Source organism: Homo sapiens, chromosome 4 (genome assembly GCF_000001405.40).
Source record: "Homo sapiens chromosome 4, GRCh38.p14 Primary Assembly".
In the NCBI taxonomy this organism is placed as follows: Eukaryota; Metazoa; Chordata; class Mammalia; order Primates; family Hominidae; genus Homo; species Homo sapiens.
This window is the reverse complement of record NC_000004.12, coordinates 27,918,696-27,943,886: the sequence shown is the minus strand read 5'-3', so window position 1 is coordinate 27,943,886 and position 25,191 is coordinate 27,918,696. Positions and strand designations below refer to the sequence as shown.

Genomic DNA, 25,191 nt, shown 5'->3' with positions numbered 1-25,191 from the left:
TGTTTCAATTAACCATATGTTTTAATATCCAGCCTTATATTTGATTATAATAATTTGGAGTATTTTTTTGCATGAAAACCTAGATGACTACACTTTTATTTAAGGACTATTACCTCCTTTAAATAAGTATGCAATGTTATATTTAATCCCACTACATTTCAGTGTTATAAATTTTTTCAATTTTCTACCTGACCAAAGAACTTTAAATTCTGGTTTTATATTTCCCTAATTTATATATTTTCCAAATTTAGTTTCTTTTCCTATGTGGTTAACTTGTCATCTCTATAGTTTTAGCCTTTATATTAATTTTATGATGCTCATAGAATAAGATGGAAGTGAATTAACATTAATATTTACAATGTTAATTATTTATAACCAATATAAACTTCACATGTTCAAATATAAAACCAATGTTAATGATCACAATGTAGGATGAACCGATATGTCACTTTAACTCTCTCATCATTAATATAGAGGAAATGAATATAAGGATGGACATTTTGGTGTAACTGACAGTGTACATGTGCGAAACACAGAACTAAGTTTGAATCATGTCTCTGAAACTTTCCTGGCTATATAGTCTTAGGAGACTTTTTATACTATCCTAATTTTGTTCATGAAAATAATTTTTTCATACCTTCGTGCATAACTTGTTAGCAGAACAATAAAATAATTTTAGAATTTTAATCTAGAAATACTTTACCCACTATCCTTCAAGAATCAACTGCTATCATTTTTCTGTTCTCTATATCTTGTCAAAATTCCCATATATTTATCCAATAAAAATCATAGCACATACAATTTTGCAATTGATTTATTTCACTGGACATTAAAAAAAGTCATTTTCAGGCTTCTATATTATTTCTGTAATGATTGTAATTGTGTAACAGAACACAGTTTATATTTCTATGCTTACTTAACCCTTTTCTATTTACATACTGAATATTTTCCATCAAAAAATGGTTTTAATATTTTAGTTTAGTGTTCATCGATCTTGGGCAAGATCATCAAAATTTATATCATTTTATTGTTTACTTTTTAATGCTATGACCAGAAAAAAAAATTGTATCTCTTTAAGTAAAATGATTTTCTGTCTATTCTAGTAATAAAAGTAAGATGATATGTTTTATCCACATACAATTGTGTATAATCTACGACTTAATTTGCTTAAGAACCATATGATTGAAAATAAGAACATAGGATGGCTTAGAAGAGAACACCAACAAAAGATCTTATGTTTAACTTCTAGTTGAATTACTTCCTAAGCTTTCTAAAATATACATTTATTGACATATTTAAGCTGCAATTTGACTCTTTCTACTAACATCTCTCTAAAGATGTTCTACTAACATCTACTAACACTCTCTAGAGTGTGCAAGTTTCTATGACGTGGGCATGCATTTGGTGAGTATCCGTCAATAAGTAGAGGGAGGTAAGAATTATATTATATTCCTCAAAAACATACTTGCCTCTCTTGACCACTCTACAACCTTCAGGAATCTATGCTGAAGTCAGAAGTAGCCTATTCGTTGTTAGCAGTAACTGTGGTGAGGACTCTTAAAGTTTGTAAATGCATTCAAAAGCATGAGAGCAATGCTATTTTCCAAAGTCAAAGGCTCAAACCATCCTAATTCTTGTTCTTATCTGTTGGAATCAGGGAGAGTGACAGTGGAATGCTACCTTGAAGATAATCATACTAAGTCTTCTTATTTGGCTAATAAGCAAATTGAATCTCAAATATTTGAACTGATTTGTTCAACATCACATAGAAAACTTTCATTTTAATGTGTAATAACAACATTATTCCGTGATTGGTAATTTTTTGTTTGTTTTCTGCTGGTATTATAAAATTTTAGTTATGCATAATAAGTACATTCTAGAGATTTGTTATACAACGTTTAGCCTATGGATAATGACACTGTATTGTACATTTAAAAATCTGTTAATAGAACAAATCTCATTTTAAGAGTCCTTATTACAATAACAATTTTTTGAAAAGATCTTAGACGTTCATGCAGGGCAAACCTAACAGACTCTAAAGTGAACATGCAATCTCCAAGGGTGATCTGTTAGCAGCTTCTATGAGTACACTTTGTTTTCACAAATGTAAATAAATACACAAGTACTTTTTTGTAGCATATTCTACCAGTAGTTACATGAATTCATTATTTAAATTTGCTTTTGCAAGGAAGTGAGTTTCATAGTTACTATTATTCTCATGGAAACATTTTACATTATTTTACAAACATAATTCAAAAACCACTCAATTAGCAAAGAGAAACATGGATAATACATAATTAAATAAAATATGCTAATCAGTTTACATGAAATTTAACAATGAGTTATGATCCTGAAAAAAAATTCCAAGCTGACCAGAGAAATGAGCTTTATTTATTCTCTGACATTTACATTTTTACAAATACTATAAAGATGTTTGGCTAGCATTTTTTCACTAAAGTAATGTAATTTCAAATATGCACCCTGGTAAACAGAAAAAAATCACTGGGGCTATTTTTTATTTATATTTTGAATGTTCTTTTTCTATGGGTATGTATAAGTTTTATAATGGTTAATTAGGGCCATATCTATACTCAACAAGAGAATAAAATGCCTTTCAATGTTTAATAACAGATGTATAACTGTTAATTAAGTTGATTTATGCCCAATGGGTTCCATTGTTTATTGATTTTGTTAGCTGATGGCATTAGTACAAGTACAGAAAACTATATGTCAAATTAAATAATACATGATAGTTTTTAAAAACTAAAAATGTAGAATAAGGAAAATATATATTTTCATTAACGATACAAATAGTGGTCTACAAAAAGTTATCTGAAATAATTTTGAGGGATGCATACATTACATGAAATATAAAGTATGCCTGCCACAATCAAAGATAATTTTTTTTTTTTTTTTGAGATGGAGTCTTGCTCTGTCGCCCAGGCTGGAGTGCAGTGGCGGGATCTCGGCTCACTGCAAGCTCCGCCTCTCGGGTTCACGTCATTCTCCTGCCTCAGCCTCCCGAGTAGCTGGGACCACAGGCGCCCGCCACCACGCCTGGCTAATTTTTTTTTGTATTTTTAGTAGAGATGGGGTTTCATGTTAGCCAGGATGGTCTCGATCTCCTGACCTTGTGATCCGCCCGCCTCGGCCTCCCAAAGTGCTGGGATTACAGGCGTGAGCCACCGCACCCGGTCAATCAAAGATAATTTTTAAAGCTAAATTTCGGTAATCAATAATCTTCTAAATATTGACATTAAAAATCACTTTACTAGGGTATTAAATGTTCACTTTATTTACAACCCCAATGCAAATTAAAACATGATACAATACAATTACTTCCGTCTAGCAAATTAGAAAGATTATACATTATACTACTCAAGTCCTTAGCGGAACAGTGCAAGTTAACCCTCTTTTTTCTTTACAGAGAACCATTTAAAATGATAATAAATTATTAATGATAAAATATTACAACTTATTGAACTAGAAGGGAGCCATTAGAAAATGAGACCTGTCTATACTTTTTTTTTTTCTTTTTTTTTCTGAGACAGAGTCTCACCCTGTCTCCCAGGCTGGAGTACAATCTCCGCTGGAGCGATCTTGGCTCGCTGCAACCTCTGTCTCCCGGGTTCAAAGGATTCTCCTGACTCAGGCCTCCCGAGTAGCTGGGATTACAGGTGCCTGCCACCACGCCCAACTAATTTTTGTGTTTTTAGTAGAGATGGGGTTTCACCATGTTGGCCAGTCTGGTCTCTAACTCCTGACCTCGTGATCCATCCACCTCGGCCTCCCAAAGTGCTGGGATTACAGGCGTGAGCCACAGTGCCTGACCCTGTCTATACTTTTTTCACAGCAGAGACCATATGGGTGGGTGGTAAATGAGGAGGTTAGAACAAGGGAATTGCATTCTGGAGCTGCATCTTCAAACCTGAGTGAACATACCACAGGAAAGTGTCAGGAGCTTGGGCTTTGCAACTTAACAATACTTGGACAACTAGATTTACGGATTCAGTTAAGTAATTTTCAGTATAATTACCATCACAAAATAGACATTTATCTTTAAATGTCCAGAAATGAGGCTATATTAATAATGTAAACAAGTTAAATAAGGCAGCATGTATTTTTTCCCTACTCTTATGTTGAAAACTAAACCACATTATAAGGATTTTTAACATGATGATTTTAACAGGCTACAGGGAGTTAGATCATCATAATCAGAAACTGACATCAATAAAAGCTTTTGTTTTATGTGGAATTACACTAATAATATACTACAAAATATTTCTACTATAATTTATAAGTAATATACATATATAAATTATTTAAGCATCCTAATGCTACCTATACTAATATACTAATAATACAATGTAAAATATTTCTACTATAATCTATAAGTAAGAGACATATATAAATTAAGTATCCTAATGCCATCTATGAATAATTTATAAATAATAATATATTATGAACAGAGAAGTATTAACTGATATAAAAATAAATATATTACATATAATATACATGTATTTTATATATACATATGTGTGTGGGTGTGTATATATGTATGTACATATATATAGAGAGAGTGTGTGTGTACCACTAAAATATGTTACCAGCGTAGATGCTTATTAATTGAATTTGGGAGTAATAGTCTGGAAAATTATTCAAATATCTCCAGAAGAAAGCCAACTACTTCCACAATACCCAAAATATTTGAAAACTCAGACATGCTGAGTATGCTGAAAGATGCAATTACCATTTGGTGCTAAAAATAAATATATATTTATAATAATTCTATGTACATTTGTGAAAAGTCTGGAATCCTGTTTTCTGCCTTCCAGGCAAAGAATCTATTAGTGTTTGATTTAAGAAATTGAATCACTTCTCAGCCTTTTAGCTAAGATCAAGTGAAGAAATGGAGACATCTCCAAGGGAAAGATATTTTAATTTCCATTAGGTGATTTTCTTGCTTGGCAGCTGACTTCTTATCAGACCATCCTGGGTTAAAAGTGGCAGCCTTAGAGTTAGAATGAGGTATGTAACAAGTATATATTTTAAGTGTAAATTATTTATAATATATATATATAAATATTTGTTTTTCCTGATTTTGCTTCATTTTTTATTGTCTCCTCTTAGATATGGATAGACAACCAAGGACTAAGTATTACTAGACATGTGCTAAACAGGATAAAAAAATGAAATAGAGTAAGTGGTCCTGTTGGAAGCTGAGATATTTCATATTTTTATACCCAAAGAAAATATGCTTCAAAAATCCAGGCAAAATAAAGACATGTTCAGAAAGATGAAAGCTAAGAGAATTTGATGGCACCATACCTGCCCTTTAAGAATGTGAAAAAAAGGTCTACAGGTTGACAGAAATTTAGGTTTTTACAAAAGAATGAAGAGCGCCATAGGTGGAAAATAAGTTAAGTAAAATATATAAAGCCTTTTATCTAATGTATAATTTTATTTTACATATTATTATTTAGAGCCAAAATACATGACAATAACAGCAAAAAGACAAAGGGGGAATATTGTATGATTCTTACATTATATGTGAAGTGATATAACATTTTGAAAATAGACTGATAAATATGAATACTGTAAATTTGAGAGCAATAAATTAAAAAAAGAAGTATGTCTAATAAAAGTATAGTGCAGATAAGATGAAATGCTAGAAAAATGCAATTAATCCAAAAGAAAAATGAAAATATAAAAGGAGAAATAAACAGATAAAAAACAGAGAGACATCAAATATGAGAATGGTAGATTTAAACACAATTGACATATTTAATATATACATTAAATGTAAATGTTCTAAAACTGCAATTCAAAGGCATAATTTCTGAGAATTCTGAAAAAAAAAACAGAGAATCATAGGAGAAGAATAAACAGTTCAGACGCAAAACCATGCATTGTAGCCACCTGATTTAACTAAAAGGGGCCATTCTGGAAAGAATGTTCTTTGAAATAAATGATGGCAGATCAAGTGCATATCCATATGGAAAAATAAATGAGTCTCATATTCTTCCTCACAAAATACAAAATAATTTATTTGAGATTCATCATAGAACTACTGTAACATATAAAATAATGTTGCAGCAAAAAACATACTAAAATGCATTTTGATGTTACAGTTGTCAAAGATTTTCTGAAGGATACAAAAATCACTACGCAGCAAAGTACATATTCATTATTTTGTTCTGATTACAATAAAAAGTTATGTTTATAGAGGTCAGAGATCAGGAAAGAAGATTTATAAAGCACATAGACTACAAGTAACGTCTACACATAGTATAGAGAATATGGTTGATGAATGAGTAAAACGTTTGAAGGAGCATTTCACAAAATAGATATTCAGATGGTCCATAATGATACGGAAAGAGGCTGAAGAGCAGTAATCACGACTGAAATGAAAGTTAAAATGACTACAAGATACCGTGACACATACACATTAGGATGGCTGCAGTTTAAAAGCTTGACAATGTCAAAGGTTGCGAAGGACATAGAACAACTAGATTGCTGGTGGGAATACAAATGAGTGAAATCTCTTGGAAAACAGTTTGCTTAAAACTGGTCAAATGGGATATTCTTGAAAATATTTTACATCTTGATCTTGGTGTTGGTTATGCGGTATATACATATATAAAATTAATTGAGATCTAGAAGTGTATATTTGGAAAGATATTTTTCTTTGCACAAATACAAATTTAAAACACATCCCTGTAAAATTTAAAGAGAAGAAAGTTTGATTTTATTATTGTTGATATAAATCTTGCTTCCAATTTAAAAAACAAATTTCAAAATCATATTAAAAATTAATTTTCCCTATAAATAATTTATACTTATTACTGTAAAGAATTAAAATATTAAAATCAGTTTCCTAATTCTAGTCTTTTCTTAAAAATAAAATAAAATTTTATCAAATACCATAAATCAATCAGAAAATACTTTGGATAAAATGTAATCATTCTATTTTGTTCAAATTGCTAAGAAATCTATCGCCATTACTCTAACTCATTGTGTTTCAGGCAAACTAAGAAATAAGATGGTTTGTACAACCTGAAAAATTATAAACTATATTGTGGGAGTAAATCATCTTACAATTCAATATAATTTAAGATCAGTAGTTCTCAAACTTTTGCGTTTAAATATCCGTTTATGCTCTAAAAACTTCCTGAGCACCCCAAAATGCTTTGGTTTTAAGTAAGATTTAATTTTTATTTACATTATGTGAAATTAAAAATGAAAATATGAAATGTTTTTTATTCCATTTAACATGAGCAAACAAATCACCTATTAGTTAACATACTGATTCTATTTTTATGAAAATAAGCATATTTTCCAAAATAAAAAATTACAAGAGTGGCATCATTTTCTCTCTTTGTAACTCTCTGTAATGTCTGACAATAAACGACAGCTGGTTTCTCATAAGCTGTTTGTGCATTCAATCTATTGTGATATTACATGCTATTTAGCGTCTGAAAAGTTCTACTTCACCTTTGTGAAAGAATGGGATTGAAGAATGCAAATTTGAAAATATTATTATAAAAATGGTTTTGACCTTGCAGAACCCTTGAAAGTGTCTCAGAGATCTCCAGCATTCTCCAGTCTCCAGCTTGAGGTCATCTGATATGGATTATTTTCTCTTAATATTAAAAGATTTGAGTTAGGCCCTTCCATCTACATAACAACCACATTCTAGAACAAGCTTCTTAATTATTTAAGAATGAGGAGGTGCAAACTCGTATCCATCTTCCCTTGACTCCAATTAATGTTTGTCTTCAGCTGGCAATTAGTTCTCAAGAACTGCGTTTGAGAATCTTATGGGTCTTTTATATATGGAAACAAAATAACTTTTCAAAATGTTCATCTTGGACAAGTGTTCCAAATATGTTGGCATCAGTAATTCTCTTCACCAGTTTAAGCCATCAATAAATTAGCATTATTTTTTTAAAGTGTTTTTAGCAAAACAATTCTTGCTCCTGTTATCTAACAGCACCTCAGTAATAGATTAAGAAGACAGAGGCCAGGTGCATCGCTCACTCCTGTAATCCCAGCACTTTGGGAGGCCCAAGGAGGCAGATCACGAGGTCAGGAGTTCGAGATCAGCCTGGCCGACACGGTGAAACCCGTCTCTAGTAAAAACACAAAAATTAGCCGGGTGTGGTGGCGCATGCCTGTAATTCCAGCTACTCCGGAGGCTGAGGCAGGAGAATCGCTTGAACCCGGGAAGCGGAGCTTGCAGTGAGCAGAGATTGAGCCATTGCACTCCAGCCTGGGTGACAGAGCTAGACTCTGTCTAAAAAACAAAATAAAACAAACAAAAGAAAAAACCAGAAAATGTAGAAAATCATGTTCTAAGCACTTTGTAGAGGGCAAAGAAAACAGTCAGAAAGATAAAAGCACATGAATGTAGTCTCTGACTATAAACTTGAAAACCAGTTCAGGGTCCCCAGGGTTCACCTCAGAGCAATTAAATATTCTCTTTTTCAACACGGATGGTTAAGAAGGTAAATGGGCAGATAGATGTTTTTAAGAAACAAAAGTATTTGAAAAGACATCCTTGACATAATTCAATTTGAAAATACCAATTCTAATGTATTAGATTACAGCAACAGCATTCTGAATATTGTACACATAATCAAAAGATGGCATGTTTAGTGGGTTTTTTTCTTTTAAGGATATAATCTCTAAATTTGATTGCCAAAAATAACATTTTTCCTGATGAAATGAGAAAAACATGATATGGTCATTCACAAAGGGAAGGGCAAGTATAATTCTTCTAAAGGCCATTCTATTATGATTTTAAAAATACAATGGAAAATTCCTTTGGAAAGCTTAAAAGTGCATAAGGAAAATAGATCAGAATGTTATGAGAGAGTGGAAAAAAAATAAGGGGATGAGTTTACTCCAAACAGTGTTTTATGGCAAATGGGCGGTAAAGAATGTGAAAGGAAAACTGCAATGTCAAAACAACAGTGCTCAGCCTTTTAAAATAACTAAATTCCATTAATGTTGATATGTAAATGATTATGCTAATTTTATTAGCTTTAAAAATAGCTATAACATTCACACAAACCTAATTTTTTGAAATATTCTTTTTAAATACACTTTTGAAGTCTTCTATCATAAAACAAATATGTACTGTATAACATATCAATAAGATATTTAAAAAAAAAACAGAGCAAATCCCCTAATATCCACATACAGCTCGAGAAAAATTATGTTATAAATACTTGCAACATCTTGTTTATCTCAGTAGTCTTAAAGTGTTTCCTTCTGCCTAAGTTAATTATCTGTAATTTTATATTTATAATTTACTTTGTTGTCTTTATTTTCACCTAAAAATATGTACTCATATAAATAAAATCTTTAGTGAGGTATATTGGAATCTGACTGTGTATTCTTTGGTGATCACCATTGTTCTTCAAATGTTTTAGAGATTAACATCAATATGTATTGATAGATACATTTCATTCATTTTCAATGATAGGTAGTATTCATTTGTATTAATATATGATAATTTATTTCCCTGTTTTGCTATCAAAATATTTTTGTTTCCTTTTTTATTACTTTTATTAAGACTGCTACCATGTACCATTTTCATACATGAACACAGCTTTCTCTCCAGCATATATCCAGGACCCTAACTTATGACTAATACAGTATTCATGTTTTCAATTTCACTGGATAATGCTTATCTATTTCTCAAAGTGCTTGAATTAATTGTTTTCCTCATCAGTGATAGATGGGAGAGAAGAGAGTTTCCTTATCTTCTATTTGCCAGCACAAAGTATTTACAAATACAGTATTTTATTCTTGCTACTATTTTGGATGTTTAAAGTGGTAAACAATTGTCATGTAAGGTGCATTTCTGCAACTAGCAATGAGTTTGACATCTTTACATGCATGAATTGGCCATTAGCATACATCCCTTTGTGAAGTAAATATTTAGTTTGTCCAATGTTTTTGTTTGGATGTTCTGGATATTTCCTATTGATTGATATTAGAAACATGTTCTCCAAGATGGTTGCCCTTAAAAAAATAAACATATGAAATCTTTTGTAAGCTGATATTCTCAATTTTAATGTAGTTGAGTTTATTAATCCCATCCTTCTTTGGTAGCATATTTGGGTTTTCAGAAAACTTCACTCAGCTTGAGGTCACAAAGATACTCTCATACTCGATCTTCTAAAACTTTATTAGGTGTTTAGTCCCCTTGGAATGAATTTGAGTGGGAATCAAATTTCTTTTGTTTCCCTTTCTGGATGCCTAATCATTGTACCAACAATTATTGAAAAGATTCTGATTTCTGATTTCAGTGATTCATTTTATACGCTAAGCATCTGTATAGATGTGGTTAATTTTCAGGTTCTCTATTGTCTGTTCCTGCACCTATTGGTGCTACTTTGTCAGAATTTATATAGTTTTATAATAAATAATGATATTTCATTGATCAAGTCGTCTATCGATAGTCTTTCCTTAAATGAGTATCTTGGCAATGATTGACCCTTCTCAATTAATTTCACATAAATTTTAGAATTAGCTTTCCCCTAAAATATGTGTGGTATTTATTGGGATTAAATTAAAACTATAAATCAATTTAAAGGGACTTGATGTTTTTATAATATTGAATTTTTCTATCCATATGTTGTATATCAATAGATTAATTCAATTCTGCAATGCATTTCAAGCTGGACAATTATTAACAATTTCCACTTATCATATATTTACATATATATTTTTTGCTTTTTATGATATATACATTATTTCTTTAAAATTTTGACTAAGATTTTTGGTTGGTCCAACTTATTTTTCTGTAATTGTTTTGTATTCAGCACTCTTGTAAAACTCTTATAAAATTAGTAGTATCTATTGATTGTTTTTAAATTTTCCATACACAATAGTATCATCTAAAATTATAGTAACATTTATTGTTTTGTATTAATCTCTACAAATTTATTTACTTCTGTTGCCTTAATGAGATGTTCAGGGTTTCCAGTTCAAAGAAAAACAGAAATAGGCATATGGAACAAATTTTTCTTAGTAGTGAATTTAAAGAAAAACTTTTCAGTATTCCAAAATCAAGTGTGGTTTTGGTTGTAGTTTTTAAAAATACGTACTTTTCCAAATAAAATTTTCTTCCTAATCCCAATTTGCTAATATTTTCATCATGAATTATTATTGAAGTTTATTTAAAAATTTAATGAAAAGGTCATATGATTTTTAAAAATCAAACTGTTAATCAGATGCATTACGTTGATTGATGGTGTAGTAATTTTTGAGAAAATATTTCTAATATCTTAAGTAAAACTTAAATCTTAAGGAAAAACCTCATGCATGAGGCCTAAGCACGTTTCTTTTTCTATCTCTGTTTTCTGTCTCATTTTAAATCTTCCCAAAAATACATTGCTTTTCACTTGTGTTTTATAATGAACGTGCTTTGTATGTTTCATTAAAATGATTTTTTTTCTCTCTCACAGTCTTTTGAGAATTTAAAAGGCAAATTTCTTCTAATAATTATCAGTTCAGTATGTTAGGTAAAAGCAATATAAATTATATTATGATATTGATGATATTGATTTCAGTGTTATACTGTGCTTACTTTTTAAACTATCTTGGTAGTTTACATATGAGCTTATAATATTTAAATGCATATGTTCAAATCTATGTTATGATTAAAAAGTGCTATAATTGCATTTTGAGCCCTAAAGTTTTATTCATATGCTAAAAGTAGGTGATGATTTAATTCATGAAAACGTGGAAATTATATACCCTGTAAAAATCCCACAGCAACAAAATAAACTACAAAATACATAAGGATTCTGTATAAAATGTTTATGTCATTTTTTAAATGCATGGCTAGAATGAAGAGAAAACAAACAAACAAACAAAAAACAAAAACAAAAAACGAGAAAGAGTGAGAAATTCTCAGAGCCCAAAAACTGAAGCAGGAATCCAGGTAGGTAAGCTGAAATGAGACTTGGGAGATATGCTGAAAACTGAAGACAGGAAAAAACATTCTCAATGCCCATTAAATGCTTTTATTCATGTCATATGACATAGTAGATGAGCCCCCAAGCACAGTGTTTACATCTACTGTGTTCATGTACTGTACAGACTGTCCATCAATACAGCACATGCCTAATTGTAGAGTCTGGTAAAAGAATGGTTTGATGATCAGGCAAAAAGCATGAGAGGTAAGACTTATAAAATAAGTTCCTCTACAGGCATTATTATTTTTCATTAAATGATTGTTATTTCCAGGGAAGATTTCCAAATCAATCAAATGTACAATGTGATTGTAGTCTCAACCATTTTCCAGAAACTTGCCATGGAGCAAAAATGGTCTTAGAGCATATCCCTGTCTCCATGCAACAATTTCATTTTGTATGGCTCTGAATAAACTGTATATGCTCAGTATTATGAAAAAAATACATATTGAGAGCGATTTTCAGTTAATTTTGTTAAAACTTTTAACACAATATTGGCATGGTTCCTTGTAGATGATAAACCAGCCATCAATTGTGATCAGATGCCAGATTTGTTACCTGATGAAGAGTGGGCTTGTCTATTCTTCATCTTTTGTTGGTGCACAGCTTCCAAAGAGACTGCATCCAATTCTTCATCACACAGAAGTACATATAAATTCTCCTGCATAGTTACAAGCTTCTGAAAATAATGAGCCTTATTGTCATGCCGGTAATCCCTTTGTAAACATAAAAAAGTATTAATGAATAGAGTTGTAGCACTGTTTGTCAGACAAGGGATGCTTTGTCTCAGAATTATCTACTGAAGAAGTCAGATATATTCAGTAAGCAGTATGTAAGAGCAGATGTATATGTGAAGTCCTTGTAGGTATAGAAGTGAAATTTTTATGATCCAAAAAGGACTCTATCAAATTCAAAATCCCAAGCGACTGAGTCTCTGAGTCTTAACATTGCTTAATTTGAAGGGCTGTTATGAAATATTGATTGATAATTAGTTTCAGTATGGTTATAAGCTTGTAATTTCAAGTTGCCTATATGTTTAATTTTCTCAATAAACTGAAATATAACTGACTTCTTATTAGATTTTGTCACAATAAAAGCTATTTTCTCTTCATTTTAAGTCAACTGGGAAAGTAGTTAAAACTTTTTGAAAAGTACTTTTTTAGTAGGTTTTTAATTAGATGACTTTGATTAAATTGGGGCTCTGAAAGGGATTTCACTAACTCCCAAGATTGTGCTAGTTACAAATGAAATCATAAACATTCCATTTAACTGTCTCTGTGAGAGCTCACTAACCAGTTGCGTGTTTTTCTATCAACCACATCTATATGCCTGACATTGCACCATTAGTTCCCTAAATGATCCTGAAGAAGTAAAACAAGGTGGATTATCCTTGTGTAGTAAATCAAAGAGACAGACTTTCTGATCATAAGGCATGATCTCTGACCTTCTGCTCCTGGAATTACCCAACATCAGCGACCTAGTGCCTTGAGATTATAATCAGGATTTCTAATTTGATAATTTCTGAGGCAGAGAGGAGAAAATGTATCCCTTCTCCACTGGGAATATCCAGAATTTCTTAGTAGATCTTAGTTGCATTTCGGTAAAAAAAAAAAAAAAAAAATCTTTGTATATTTTGGTCTCATACTTACCTAACTCCTTCTTACCATCCTGCCAAATGCTTAAGTATCAATTCTGGTGATACTGAGTTTCTTAATGTTTTCAAATTAATGTTCCTTTCACTTCTATTTCTTAGCAATATTTCTCATTTTCTTGGATGACCTCTCATGTAAGAAACTCTGCCCAGTCTTTAAAACATTGCCTCAGGTCACCTTCTCCATAACTGTTCTCGGAAATCATTCATTTCATCTTACCCCATCCCTGGCAGAGTCAACATCTTGTTTCTATTTGCCAGTTTGTCTGGTGTACTCATATTGTGCTTATCAGTCTAGGTTATAAATGATTGTCTCCCAACATAGAGCACGAATTTTTTGGGCAAAGATTTTATTATTCAGATATTTCTTCCATTGCTTACACTAGATGCTCAATAAAGGTTAATGGAACCGAACCAAATTATTAACACGTTGTACTTCATACTTTCCACTAACAGACTTGCCAATGACTAACTCAATGTTTCAGGTGTATAAAGCATGTAAAACACACATGCGCATGTGCACACATACACATACACTTGATATTAAAGTAGAAAAAGCATAGATTCTTGATATTTATGCCTGGTCAATTCTCAGTTCTGCCATCTACTGCAAACAAGGGTAAGAGTAAGATAAATTTTCATAAGCCTCAGTTTCTTTTTCTATAAACATATAACTCATATTTCCATAAGTAATATGAGTTACATTTACTTCAGAGTATTTTCTTAACAATCAATCAAATGGTAAATATGAAAGAATTTCACAGTTGTTACTCTAGTGATAATCATAAAGCCAAAATTATTTATGTACTGAGTGCCAGTCTCTTCGCAGACATTATCTAGTTTGAGCCTCACTGCAAACCAATGTGATCATGCTTTTATCATTCATATTTTACTAAGGAGTGAACTCATGTTTAGAGAGGTCAGGCTTTGCTTAATAGCCCAAAAGGTGACTAACTCCAGAAACTATGTTTTTAACCACTGTAATACAAAAACAAGGAATACTGACACAGGTAAAATAATTATGAGACTGGAAAACTATAGACCTGTGTGACTAAACTGCTTTACTTATCACTTAGGGCTATGGGGACAAAATGGGTAGCTGTTCCTTTTTTTTATAAGTTTAACATAAGCAATAAACATTTTCTTAGCACACATCCAGGAGAGGAAGGAATTGGTAAAAAGATCTGAGAAACGTAATCAGGATTTGTGTGTAAAGTTAATAAAAATCATCCAATTTCACAATCTTTCCACCAGAGTAACTTGGCGTTAATAGCAGAGAAGAGATATTTCTGGCTTATTAAATACAAAGCACATCTGTTTGGTGACATATTTTCAGAGTCCACAGTACTAATTACTGAGTCAATTCCAAAAATTCTGTCCTTGTAGTCTCAGTGTCTGGGCTCTCTCTATTCTTTCCTTTCCAATGTGCTCCCCTTCCTCGTCAACATTCCCAGAACCCCTTTATCTTTGCCACACACCATCTCTCTCATATCTCAAACCATACACACATCTTTCAACTAGACTAATAACTAAGAATTGTTAATAGAAGAGTAAATTCTAACAGTGAGGGCTTTAATTTATTTTTACTTATATGCCAGGAATATGATTAGGCATTTAAGAAAATCTATTTTTCTATTGATTTCCCCTTCCATTCTAAGAATTGGGTACCATTATGATGCTTTTCAGTGAAGAAAATGAAACTTAATTGTCCACGGCCAAACAGCCAGAAAACACATGGCTGGCATCAGAACTCCGAGCTGTCCCACTCACTCCAGAATGCAATCATTAGAATTTACTTCCTCCCTGAATGAGTCGTAATTGTTTTATTGAGTAAACATTTATTGAGCATCACCTTTCTCAGGCTAAATATGGCATTTGATATTAGAAATGGAAAAAAGAAATAAAATAAAACAAAGTGATTTGCAGAAAGATCTCTGGATGACCAGGTAGTAGAGACAAAGGGGAAGCACTGAAGATATGTTCAACACCACGAATAATAATCCAGAATCTTAGCCACAGAGAATTCGGAATTATTTTCTCAATGATGAGAGTCAAACCTGAAGGCCACTGATAGTTGATTTTCTCCTCACCTTTGGTAGCTTTGTGCATTCTTCAGGGTTTTCCAGAGGGACAGAACAGGTAGGCTAGATGCAGATATCTTTATTAGGCAGAATTGACTCACAGGATCACAAGGTGAAGTCCTGTAATAGGGCGACTGCAAGCTGGGGAAGAGAGAAGCTGGTAGGGGCTCAGTTTGAGTCTGATAGCCTCAAACCAGGGAAGCCAACAGTCCAGCCATCAGTCTGTGGCCAAAGGCCCAAGAGTTCCCAGGAAACCACTGGTGCAAGTCCCAGAGTCCAAAAGCCTAAGAACCTGGAGTCTAATGTAAAAGGGCAAGAGGAGTGGAGGGAAGCATCCAGCATGGGAAGAAGGAGCCAGCCAGAAGACTCAGCAAGCAAGGTTATCCCACCTTCTTATGCTGATTGGATAGTGCCCACACACATTGAGTGTGGGTCTTCCTCTGCTTGTCCACTGACTCAAATATCAGTCTCCTCTGGCAACATCCTCACACTCTCAGAAACAATACTTTACCAGCCATCTAGGCATCCTTCAATCCAACCCAGTTGACACCTAATATTAACCATCACACTTTGCAAAAACTAGCTCAACTGAATTAACTCAAAAGAAAAAGAGATTGATACCAGCCACTGGGCTCTGAAGGTTCCTCATTCTAACAAGGCCACTTCCTTCACCAAAGAGCTCCTGGTGATGCATGGTTGCCTAGATTATCCCTGACCTCCCATGAATATGTAGAATTTTATTCACAACTAAAACTCTCTCCATGTTGTATCCAGTGTGGCCTGAGCACCCCTCTTTGTGTCAATAATAACTTACGGGATCATATGCATGCTATGACATCACTGCTTGTAAATTCACCCCCACCGCAATAAAATCTATTTTAAATTTGTACCATGGGGGAATAGTCATGTTTCTGTTTCCTTTGTTGATCTCACTCATTTCAAAAGAACAACAGCAGCAACAACAAAGAACCACATTATTTTAAAATGCGTTGTATCTTATACAATTGCTTCTTAATAATATTTATTTTTTGATAGCTTAAAGGAAATGTATTGCACACACATTATCCTCAATATAAAAACACATTGTTTTCAAGGTAAGTATTACTAATATTTATCTTTTCCAATGAGGACAATAAGGTTCAAGGGATAATGCAAATTCTTTCAGTACTATACTATTTATCAGGAGTCTATTATTTGTTGGAACCTGGGGATAGACCTGCTGTCTAAACGAGCATGGTGAGTGAGCAGAAGAGAGTGACAAGCAAATATTCATTCAAACAATACAGAATTACATACTGTGATATATTATGAAGCAAAATAAATTGTATTATGAGAAATCAAAACAGTAATTCAATTTAGGAGATTAAAGAACGAATGAGAAAGTGACAATTGAGAAGAGATCTTGTATGTAAATAAAAGTCAAAAAGCTGAACTATATGGAAGAAAAATTACAATTCAAGTGAGGAAACTAGTGTAAAAACCTCAATGTGGAGACATTTCTGGCAAGGAGAAGGAAATCAAAGAAAGGCAGTGGGTGGGGCTGGAATCTAGCAGGTGATAGGAAATGGCATGACATGTAATAAAATATTGAAAGGGGTCACATTATATGGGCTTTACCTATCAATTAGAGAATTATTGATTTCATTCCAAGGGTAATGTAAAGGAAATTAAAAGGTTTTGTAGGCAAAATGGTAAGATTAGATTTGTATGTTAACAATCTCGTTCAAGATGCTCCGTGAAGAAATAATCCCATAACAAGGATTTGGCACCAGCTCTGTCTTGCTATAAAGCTACTCTTTTGATGACACTTGACTCCAGGATCCATTATTGTATTTGCTTTTCAACACAACTCACTGGAGTGGAAAGCGCAGGAATTATTATTCACATTTTACACATATTGGACCTGGGATCGAAAAAAAATGTATGCAAGACCAAGGTCTTCTTACCCCTAATAGCAAAATGATATGGCTAAAGAGCCAGTGAGTAATGCCTAAGAGTTGCCATAGGCCTGCCCAGTTCCAGCTTCTGTTCTCAGCATTTCATGACTATTAACTCCTCTAATAATTACAAAAATATTATTAGGATATATTCCCCATTATCTGACAGGAAAGTTGGGGCATAGAAAACTTAAGTAACTTCCCCAAATTCACCTAACTAGAACAGTTCAAAGCTATTGATTATATAGCTTAAAACAATGATCACTCCCCCTTTCTGGATTAAGCTTCTATATCAAATCATTTTTTTCTCAGTAATTAAAAAATTTGTATCAGTTCTTCTTGTCTATGTAAATGTGACTGGCAAGCTTTATTCTCCTTTGTGTAATAATATGATATGAGATTTATGATTAACGTTTACAGCAACTAACATTAGATGGACTTACTAAATCTTACTAGGAATAGGATGATTAAGTAGTATGAGTGAAATTTTTATTCAAATTGTACTGATTTTTATCACAAATAATAAATGAACATTTGTAGTGATGATAAAGTAGCATAATGTTATGTCTGAGAATAACACAAAATACCCAAAGGGTCCTTGAACACAAATGGTAGGTTAAGTGTAAATATCCCCACTAAAGTCCCTAGAAGTAAAAGCAAAGAAATCAAGCTTAAGTACGTATTACATTATTTTCAGAATAAGTATGTATTAAGCAGCTACATGTCCCAGTGTTTTTTAGCTTGAATTTGCATATGCTGTGGGTTGCTTGCCTGTACATGTGAATATTCTCTTTCTGCTCGATGAATGCTCCCCAATTAAAAATAATGATGTAGATCTATAAATTATTGCTTCAGCTCATACTGTATCATATAATTGAATGCATGAATTGGATTAAAATATAACAGAGCAATAAATGCTATGAAAAGTATGTACTTTTAAGCTTAATTAAAATTAGTTTAAAATGTTATATTTTATTCATGTCAAGAATATTTGATTTGAAACAGGTGTTAGTGCCTCCTACTTTTGAAACTCATGACCACTCCTGGATCTGGTATAGCCATCCTTTGATCGGGGGACAAGTAATCTAAGAAAGGGAAATCAACATAATGAATATGGTACAGCAGTAATGTGAGAACCCCCAGCTTGATGATGTCTTTGAGCTCTTGAACTATCTTTGAAACTACCTTCCTCTGGACTTTTACTATGTAAAATTAAAAGTGCTTTTTTTTTTTTTTTACTGTTAATCATGTCTTCTCTTACTTATTGATCTTTGCATTTTAATTGGCAGAGATATTTTATCAAAAAAAAGAAAAATGTAACTATGGAAAGAGACAACTCTCAGTTTTAAATAAACCAAATAGTAGGAAGAATTTAACCTAGTGATTTCTACTCCCAGTTCCTATCTTGTCCCTTGCCTAGTGTGTGTTCAATATGTGGTATTTTGGAAATGTTATTTTAATTAAGATAATTAGACTTCGATGGTCTAATTAAAGGGGGTGAAGGGGATGAGAAAACTCAGAAACTGGTGGGCATTCTTCTTGGACCAGTTCTATTCCAAGGCTCAGGATTCCCCACATTATGATGTCTCCAGCATGTGTCGGCTCTTTAGTGACTAAATTATAGATCTTGGCACAGGCTATATAAATTGGCATCATTCCTGGCTTAACAAATAATGTACCAACTGGTGCATGATGTATACCTTCATTAACAAAATTGGGGCATGGTATTCAATAAACTTGCCTAACCACTGGTTCATTGTCTGTCAATTTCAATTTAGTCAGAGCTATTTTTAGCTTGGGAATAAATTGTTTTATATTGGCATGGAGCTTGGCAGTGGTCATGCCAAAAGGCTTAATTAAGCATCAAATAGTAGTATTATTTATATGAACTTTTTAAAAATGTAGTTTAGGCTTCAGGCAAGTAACACTCTAAATTTTCTTGAAGATCTTATAATTTGTGACAAAATAAAAACAATCTCCTGACTTAGAGAATAATTTTTCATGGTTTTCTCTTTAAAAAGTTATATTTTATACATTGAGAGATTAGGATATATAGACTAATTCATTAATTCATGACGTTAATGATTGATTTATTCCTTAAAAGAAATATCCAACAGAGATGAACTTATCACAGAAAACATTTACAGCCAACACTAAAATCAATGTTTTTAATGGCTTACTGAGTAGTACCCTAAGAGCTTCATTAATGTTTCTCCTCTTTCTTCGTGAAACTCAAGAGATTCTTAACCTAGGGCCAACAAATATTCTCAGAAGTATGTGACTCTCCTGATATTGAATGCAAAATTTTGGATGTAAGAGTCATAGATTTATTTGATTCTCAAAGCTGTTATTTGCAACAATAATAAAAAATTAATTAACTGTTCTAAACCCTCTTCTGGATCAATGTAAGTACCTCTTTAGTGTTAATAAATATGCTTAATACTTACAAATATGTACTAATGGACAACACTCTAACCTAAATAACAGTTCTATAGACTCAGAAATGGCAGCACTGAGAGCATTGATAATTATCTTAAACTTACTATCTCTACTACACTTTCTACCACATCTTCTACCCAGTTACTAAAATAAAAACAAAAAAAAGTAGATACAACTCCTTTCTCTTCACCTACTCCCTGCATACATGCATTGAGTTCTATGTACAATGAATTTCTACATGCATGTCAAATTAACCCTTTTTTATTTATTGTCACTCTCACTTCTTTAATCCAAATCCTCATATTCTCCTGCTGCAACCAGTGCAGTAGCTTCCAAATTGGTTTCATAATTCTGATATTCTCTGTTAGTCCAATCTCAGTATGGTTATTTGAATAATACAGCCAAAATATTAACCTGATTATGTTATTCCTTTGCTAATTATTTTTCATGGTTGTGTGCACCTACAGGATAATCTGAAGTAATTTATCATGGCACACACAGTCTTCCATGTCCAGGCCCCTGTCTCATGACTGTTTCAGTCATTATTCTTCACAGTTCCTCCCATGCTGTCTATCCAAGGAACTATCTTTACCTAATTGTCTTTAATTCTAGTTCTGCCTTCTACCATCATCCTAAAGATATCAGAGTCTTCTGTCACTTCAAATAAAAGAGTATTTTTCTGAATATGCAACTCTTACTCTATTCCATCTCTTTGCATACTACATTGACTCTTTCTACAATGGTGTTCCATTGCTTCAGTAGCCTAAATCAAGCACCCAACATCAGTTTTTTGATCCTCTTCTCTTGATTACAGCATTTGAGCATCATTAGGTACCTTTTTTCTGTGTTCCAATGTGAACTTGTTCAAATTTTCACTATAACACTTCAAGTGTATAAGGTACTCATTCTCTCCTCCAATAAACTAAGAGGTTGTTTTCGATGAAGCTGATTTTTACTCATATTTGTTTCAACAGTGTCTGGTCCATAGAAATGACTCAATAAGTGTGTTTCGAAGATATAGGAAAACAGAACATACATGTGTAACAGAAACCTGTACTTGAGCCTAGAGGAACCTAAATGTGACATTTTACATACAATAACTCAATCCATCATCTCTTATGCACACATCTTCCATTCCTTTCCAGATAAGTCTCTGAAAACAGAAAGAGACATGAAGTGTCAAATTTATATCTTCCTTGCAAGAATGTAAGATACTCATGTGTTTTCCATCTTCTTTCACAGCAAAGACAATATTAGAAGAATCTGAATTTTGCAAGCTAGCTTCCACGCAAGCCCATCTTCAAAAATATTATCTCTTCTCTCTCTCTCTCTCTCTCACACACACACACACACACACACAAACACACACACACACTGACACCCATCTGTATATATGAAGAGAGAGAGACAGAGATGGGGATAGGAAGAGATCATCATTTTTCTTTTTGCAGTTTTTATTTTAGGGATTTTGCTAATTTTATTCAGTAATAGGGAAGCCCATCAGTTACATTTTGAAGAGTCACCAATTATGGGAAACTAATTTTGAGTAATGCATGTTGGTTATTTTTTAAAAATATCCAGGGAATTTATTTCCCTATGAAATATGTAGAAAATGTAAGCTTATCAGGAGAAACTATTTTCTGACCTCTTTATTTCTTATCAGACATTTGCTGAACTTTTTAAAGGCATTTCATTTTTCTATATACTCAGCAGTAATTCTAAGAGTAAACCTGTCTACATTTAAAGCTTGCCTTTTGTTTTCAGTTCTGCTCTTCGGGAGGAACACGTGCTTTTAAATTAGAATGTATGACAGTAGTTAGAAAATTTATTGATACTGACAAAAATAGTAATAAAAGAAAGTTGCTTTTTTCATTTATCATGTTTGAATACAATCCAGGCTCCAATATATATATACACACACACATACATACATATTCATCTTTTGGTAAGGGCAACTAACCAGCAGGTTTTACACAAATGCCCTCTGGAAACATAAAATGAAGGTAGGCATTTATAGCATAGTGTAAAAAGTATCTAATTCCTCTAAGACCCAGGGCAAAGCCTCATTTGAGATTTGCATAATCCATCACTGGTTAGGGATCACTCAGCAGCAACAATCCACTATGAAGGCATTTCCTAGTGAATTGTGAACTTTGCATTTATTTTGATTTAATAATAAAATGACAGTAAACCCTTATTACTGTTAGTCCGAACTTTACCATTTTGTAAGCCCCCCACCATTTCGCAGACCTTGGTCAAAGTGAAACATTCCATGGGTTTTTGGGCCATCAGAAATATCCTGCCCAACCAGCTGACTTTCTCATCATACTCTGCTGGGCAATGGTCCAACCAAAGGAATGTCCCTATCATATCCTGTTGGGCAAAGATTCAAAGAACATCCTATCACATCCCACCAAAAAAAGGGCCAAACTGCCTGATCATAGGGACATCTTATCAATATCCTGCCGTGCAGCAAGACATACTGCCCAGACCCCTCTTGCTCATACCCATTAAGCACACCAGCCTGTAAGCAGCGGTAGGCATTGGCTTTAAGCTGGCCCCCACCTCTGTAGGTGTATGCTGGACATAAACGCCTGCAATTGCTGTTGAGCAACTCTCTCTCTCTCTCTCTCCTTTTCTTTGTATCTTTCTTTAACCCTTGCCTTCCCTTCAAAACCTAACAATCACCACATCTAGAAATGTCTTTAAATTGAAATTACCATGTCCATGAAATTCTTGTCATACGTACTAATTTCACATATTCGACATGTATTAATTTGGTTTACTTAGTATCTATATCTGAGGATCCTTTTAGTTGCCAAGCACTGAGCTATGTCCCAGAATGTCAGAAGTTGATATGAGACAGATTCTCTTCCAGAATCTCATATGCTAATGAAGGAGAATGTTATGTATACAAACAACTTCAGCATGGTGTGCAAGCACAGCAATTAAAGTACATAATCAGCCTTTTCTGAATTCTTACTAAATAAACAGGAAAAAATTTTTAAAGTGCATATCTGATGAAAGTATTGAAGCCTCAGAGGTAGATAAAGCCTTCACTGAGTCACAGTGCTTGAGGGGAAAATGGATAATTCATCCCACTAGACATTACTGGAAAGAACATTCCAAGCAGAGAGAATTTTCTAGTAGGGAGACATAGACAATGTGATTTTTGTTTTTAGAGAACTGTAAAGATGTTTTTAATTCTGGAGAAAAACATATGAAGTAGAGTGGTGAGAGTAGAGGCTGAGTGTGAGGCAGAGGACAGATGAAAGTGTAATTTCATACCATGATAAAATATTTGGTATTAATTTTAACCATATGTGGTGATGGGCAGTCATTTTATCCCATATCCATGTTAAAAATCATTTAACAACAGGAATGCTACTAAAAATGTTAAGCATGAAAATGACATGTTTTTATTTGTATTGGAGAAAAATTATTTAACCACTATATAGAGAATTGTGTGATAAAGTGAGAGAACATAAGCAGAAATATAAACAAGCCTGTTCCAAAAGTTGAGCCTAGATGTAACAGCTTAAAGTGGCACAATACAAATGAAGGTAAAGGTGAAATGTATTAGACTTATTAACTCACTGGATCTACTACCTCAAAAATATTTGTTACCTAACTAGATTTAGTACCATCAATACATATACTCACATGACTATTTTCTATCATGTTAAGCTCACAGGTATTGACATTTTTGGAAGAGACCCTCCCTTATCCTTCAAGTAATTAAATATTTTTAAAAATAAAAAGAGATAAGGAAATTGTGAATGGTGCTGTAAGAATTATTGAAATAGGCATGTTCATGTCATTGTTTTAACATTAGGTTCTATCTACCGTCAGGAATTTGGCAATGTTTGTGTCATTCACAAGAATATCAATGATCTGTACTCTCAGTTTCAATGGCAATATACAGAAAAAGTTCTTTGAATCATCTGTCCCTTGGGTAGTAAGGAATTGATTAAACATAATATTGGTGAAAACAAAAAAAACCACTCATTATTCTATGCCTATTATTATTTAAAAATCTTCAAAGATGCTACAGATGCATTTCATAATCTGCTTTTATCTGTATTAAGACATTTGGATAAGGTAGTTAAAGCATTATTTGCTCTGCTAAAGTCTTAAGTATTCCCCTATTAATTCCATGGAATGACCCATGATTGATTGAGATAATACCAATAAGTTAAGAGATAGCATATTTCAATGAAACATTTTGCAATAATTAAAGTAGTTTTGAATAACCTAAACTGCAGTCATATAGTGTCTATTTTAAGATGTCTGAAGCCATTAATGATGTTAATATATCTACATTAGCATCCTTTGTCATAAGAATAATGTATCATTCATTCATTCAAGACTTATGCTAGATAATAAGAACACAAAGGTGGAAAAAGAACATAATAGCAACAACAAAACCCACACTGGAAAAAAAAGAGGTAGTCAGAAATATCTTTCCCCTGCCCTATAGCTGATGATGGCCTTTAAATATAATTCCTTCCTCCTGTTTCTGGAGTATTTTATAGTAATACAGTCATTCAAGGCAGAAAGCCTTGAATCCAGCATTTTCCCTGCTTTTATCAAACAATGTGACTGTGGGCAAATCTTATACTTACCTTGGACTTTGCCTTTCTTTTCAGTAGCATCAGGAGTTGATGCAATGATTTCTCAAGTTATTTTAAGTGACATTACTGTGATTCTTAATGAATCATAAGAAGAAAGGGCAAAACTAGATGAATTTCACAGAGAAGTTGTATGTCAAGAGGAATAATGATATATTTTCCAGACTTGTAATAAAAAACTTTACTTAAAGGTTTATATTTTTAAAAAATCAAAATAAGTAAGTTTCAAAAGAACTGAGTCTTTAAGAATTAGAGCTAAAGAAATAATATAATTGAGAGAAAAGGTATATTTCAGGGACTCAGGAAAGCTTTTACCTAAACTGTGTGACTGAGGTATTTTTGTCCTTCTTACTGGTCTTTCAAATCCCTCTGCATTTTAGTTCTCATAGCTTCATCTCACTGCTAAATGGTGATACCAATGCTTGCCAGGTACTGTTCAGGAAAGTGAATACGATCAACAGG

At 32.8% G+C, this 25,191-nt stretch overlaps 1 long non-coding RNA gene across 1 annotated transcript in view; it reads right to left on the bottom strand.

Annotated features, from left to right (window-relative positions):
* LOC105374552 (uncharacterized) overlaps positions 1 to 12,703 on the bottom strand; it is a 71,889-nt gene extending 59,186 nt beyond the window's left edge. Inside the window, exon 1 of the long non-coding RNA XR_001741500.1 lies at positions 12,549 to 12,703. This is a non-coding gene — a long non-coding RNA (uncharacterized LOC105374552). The remainder of the gene's footprint in view (positions 1 to 12,548) is intronic.
* Positions 12,704 to 25,191: the final 12,488 nt, after the last annotated feature.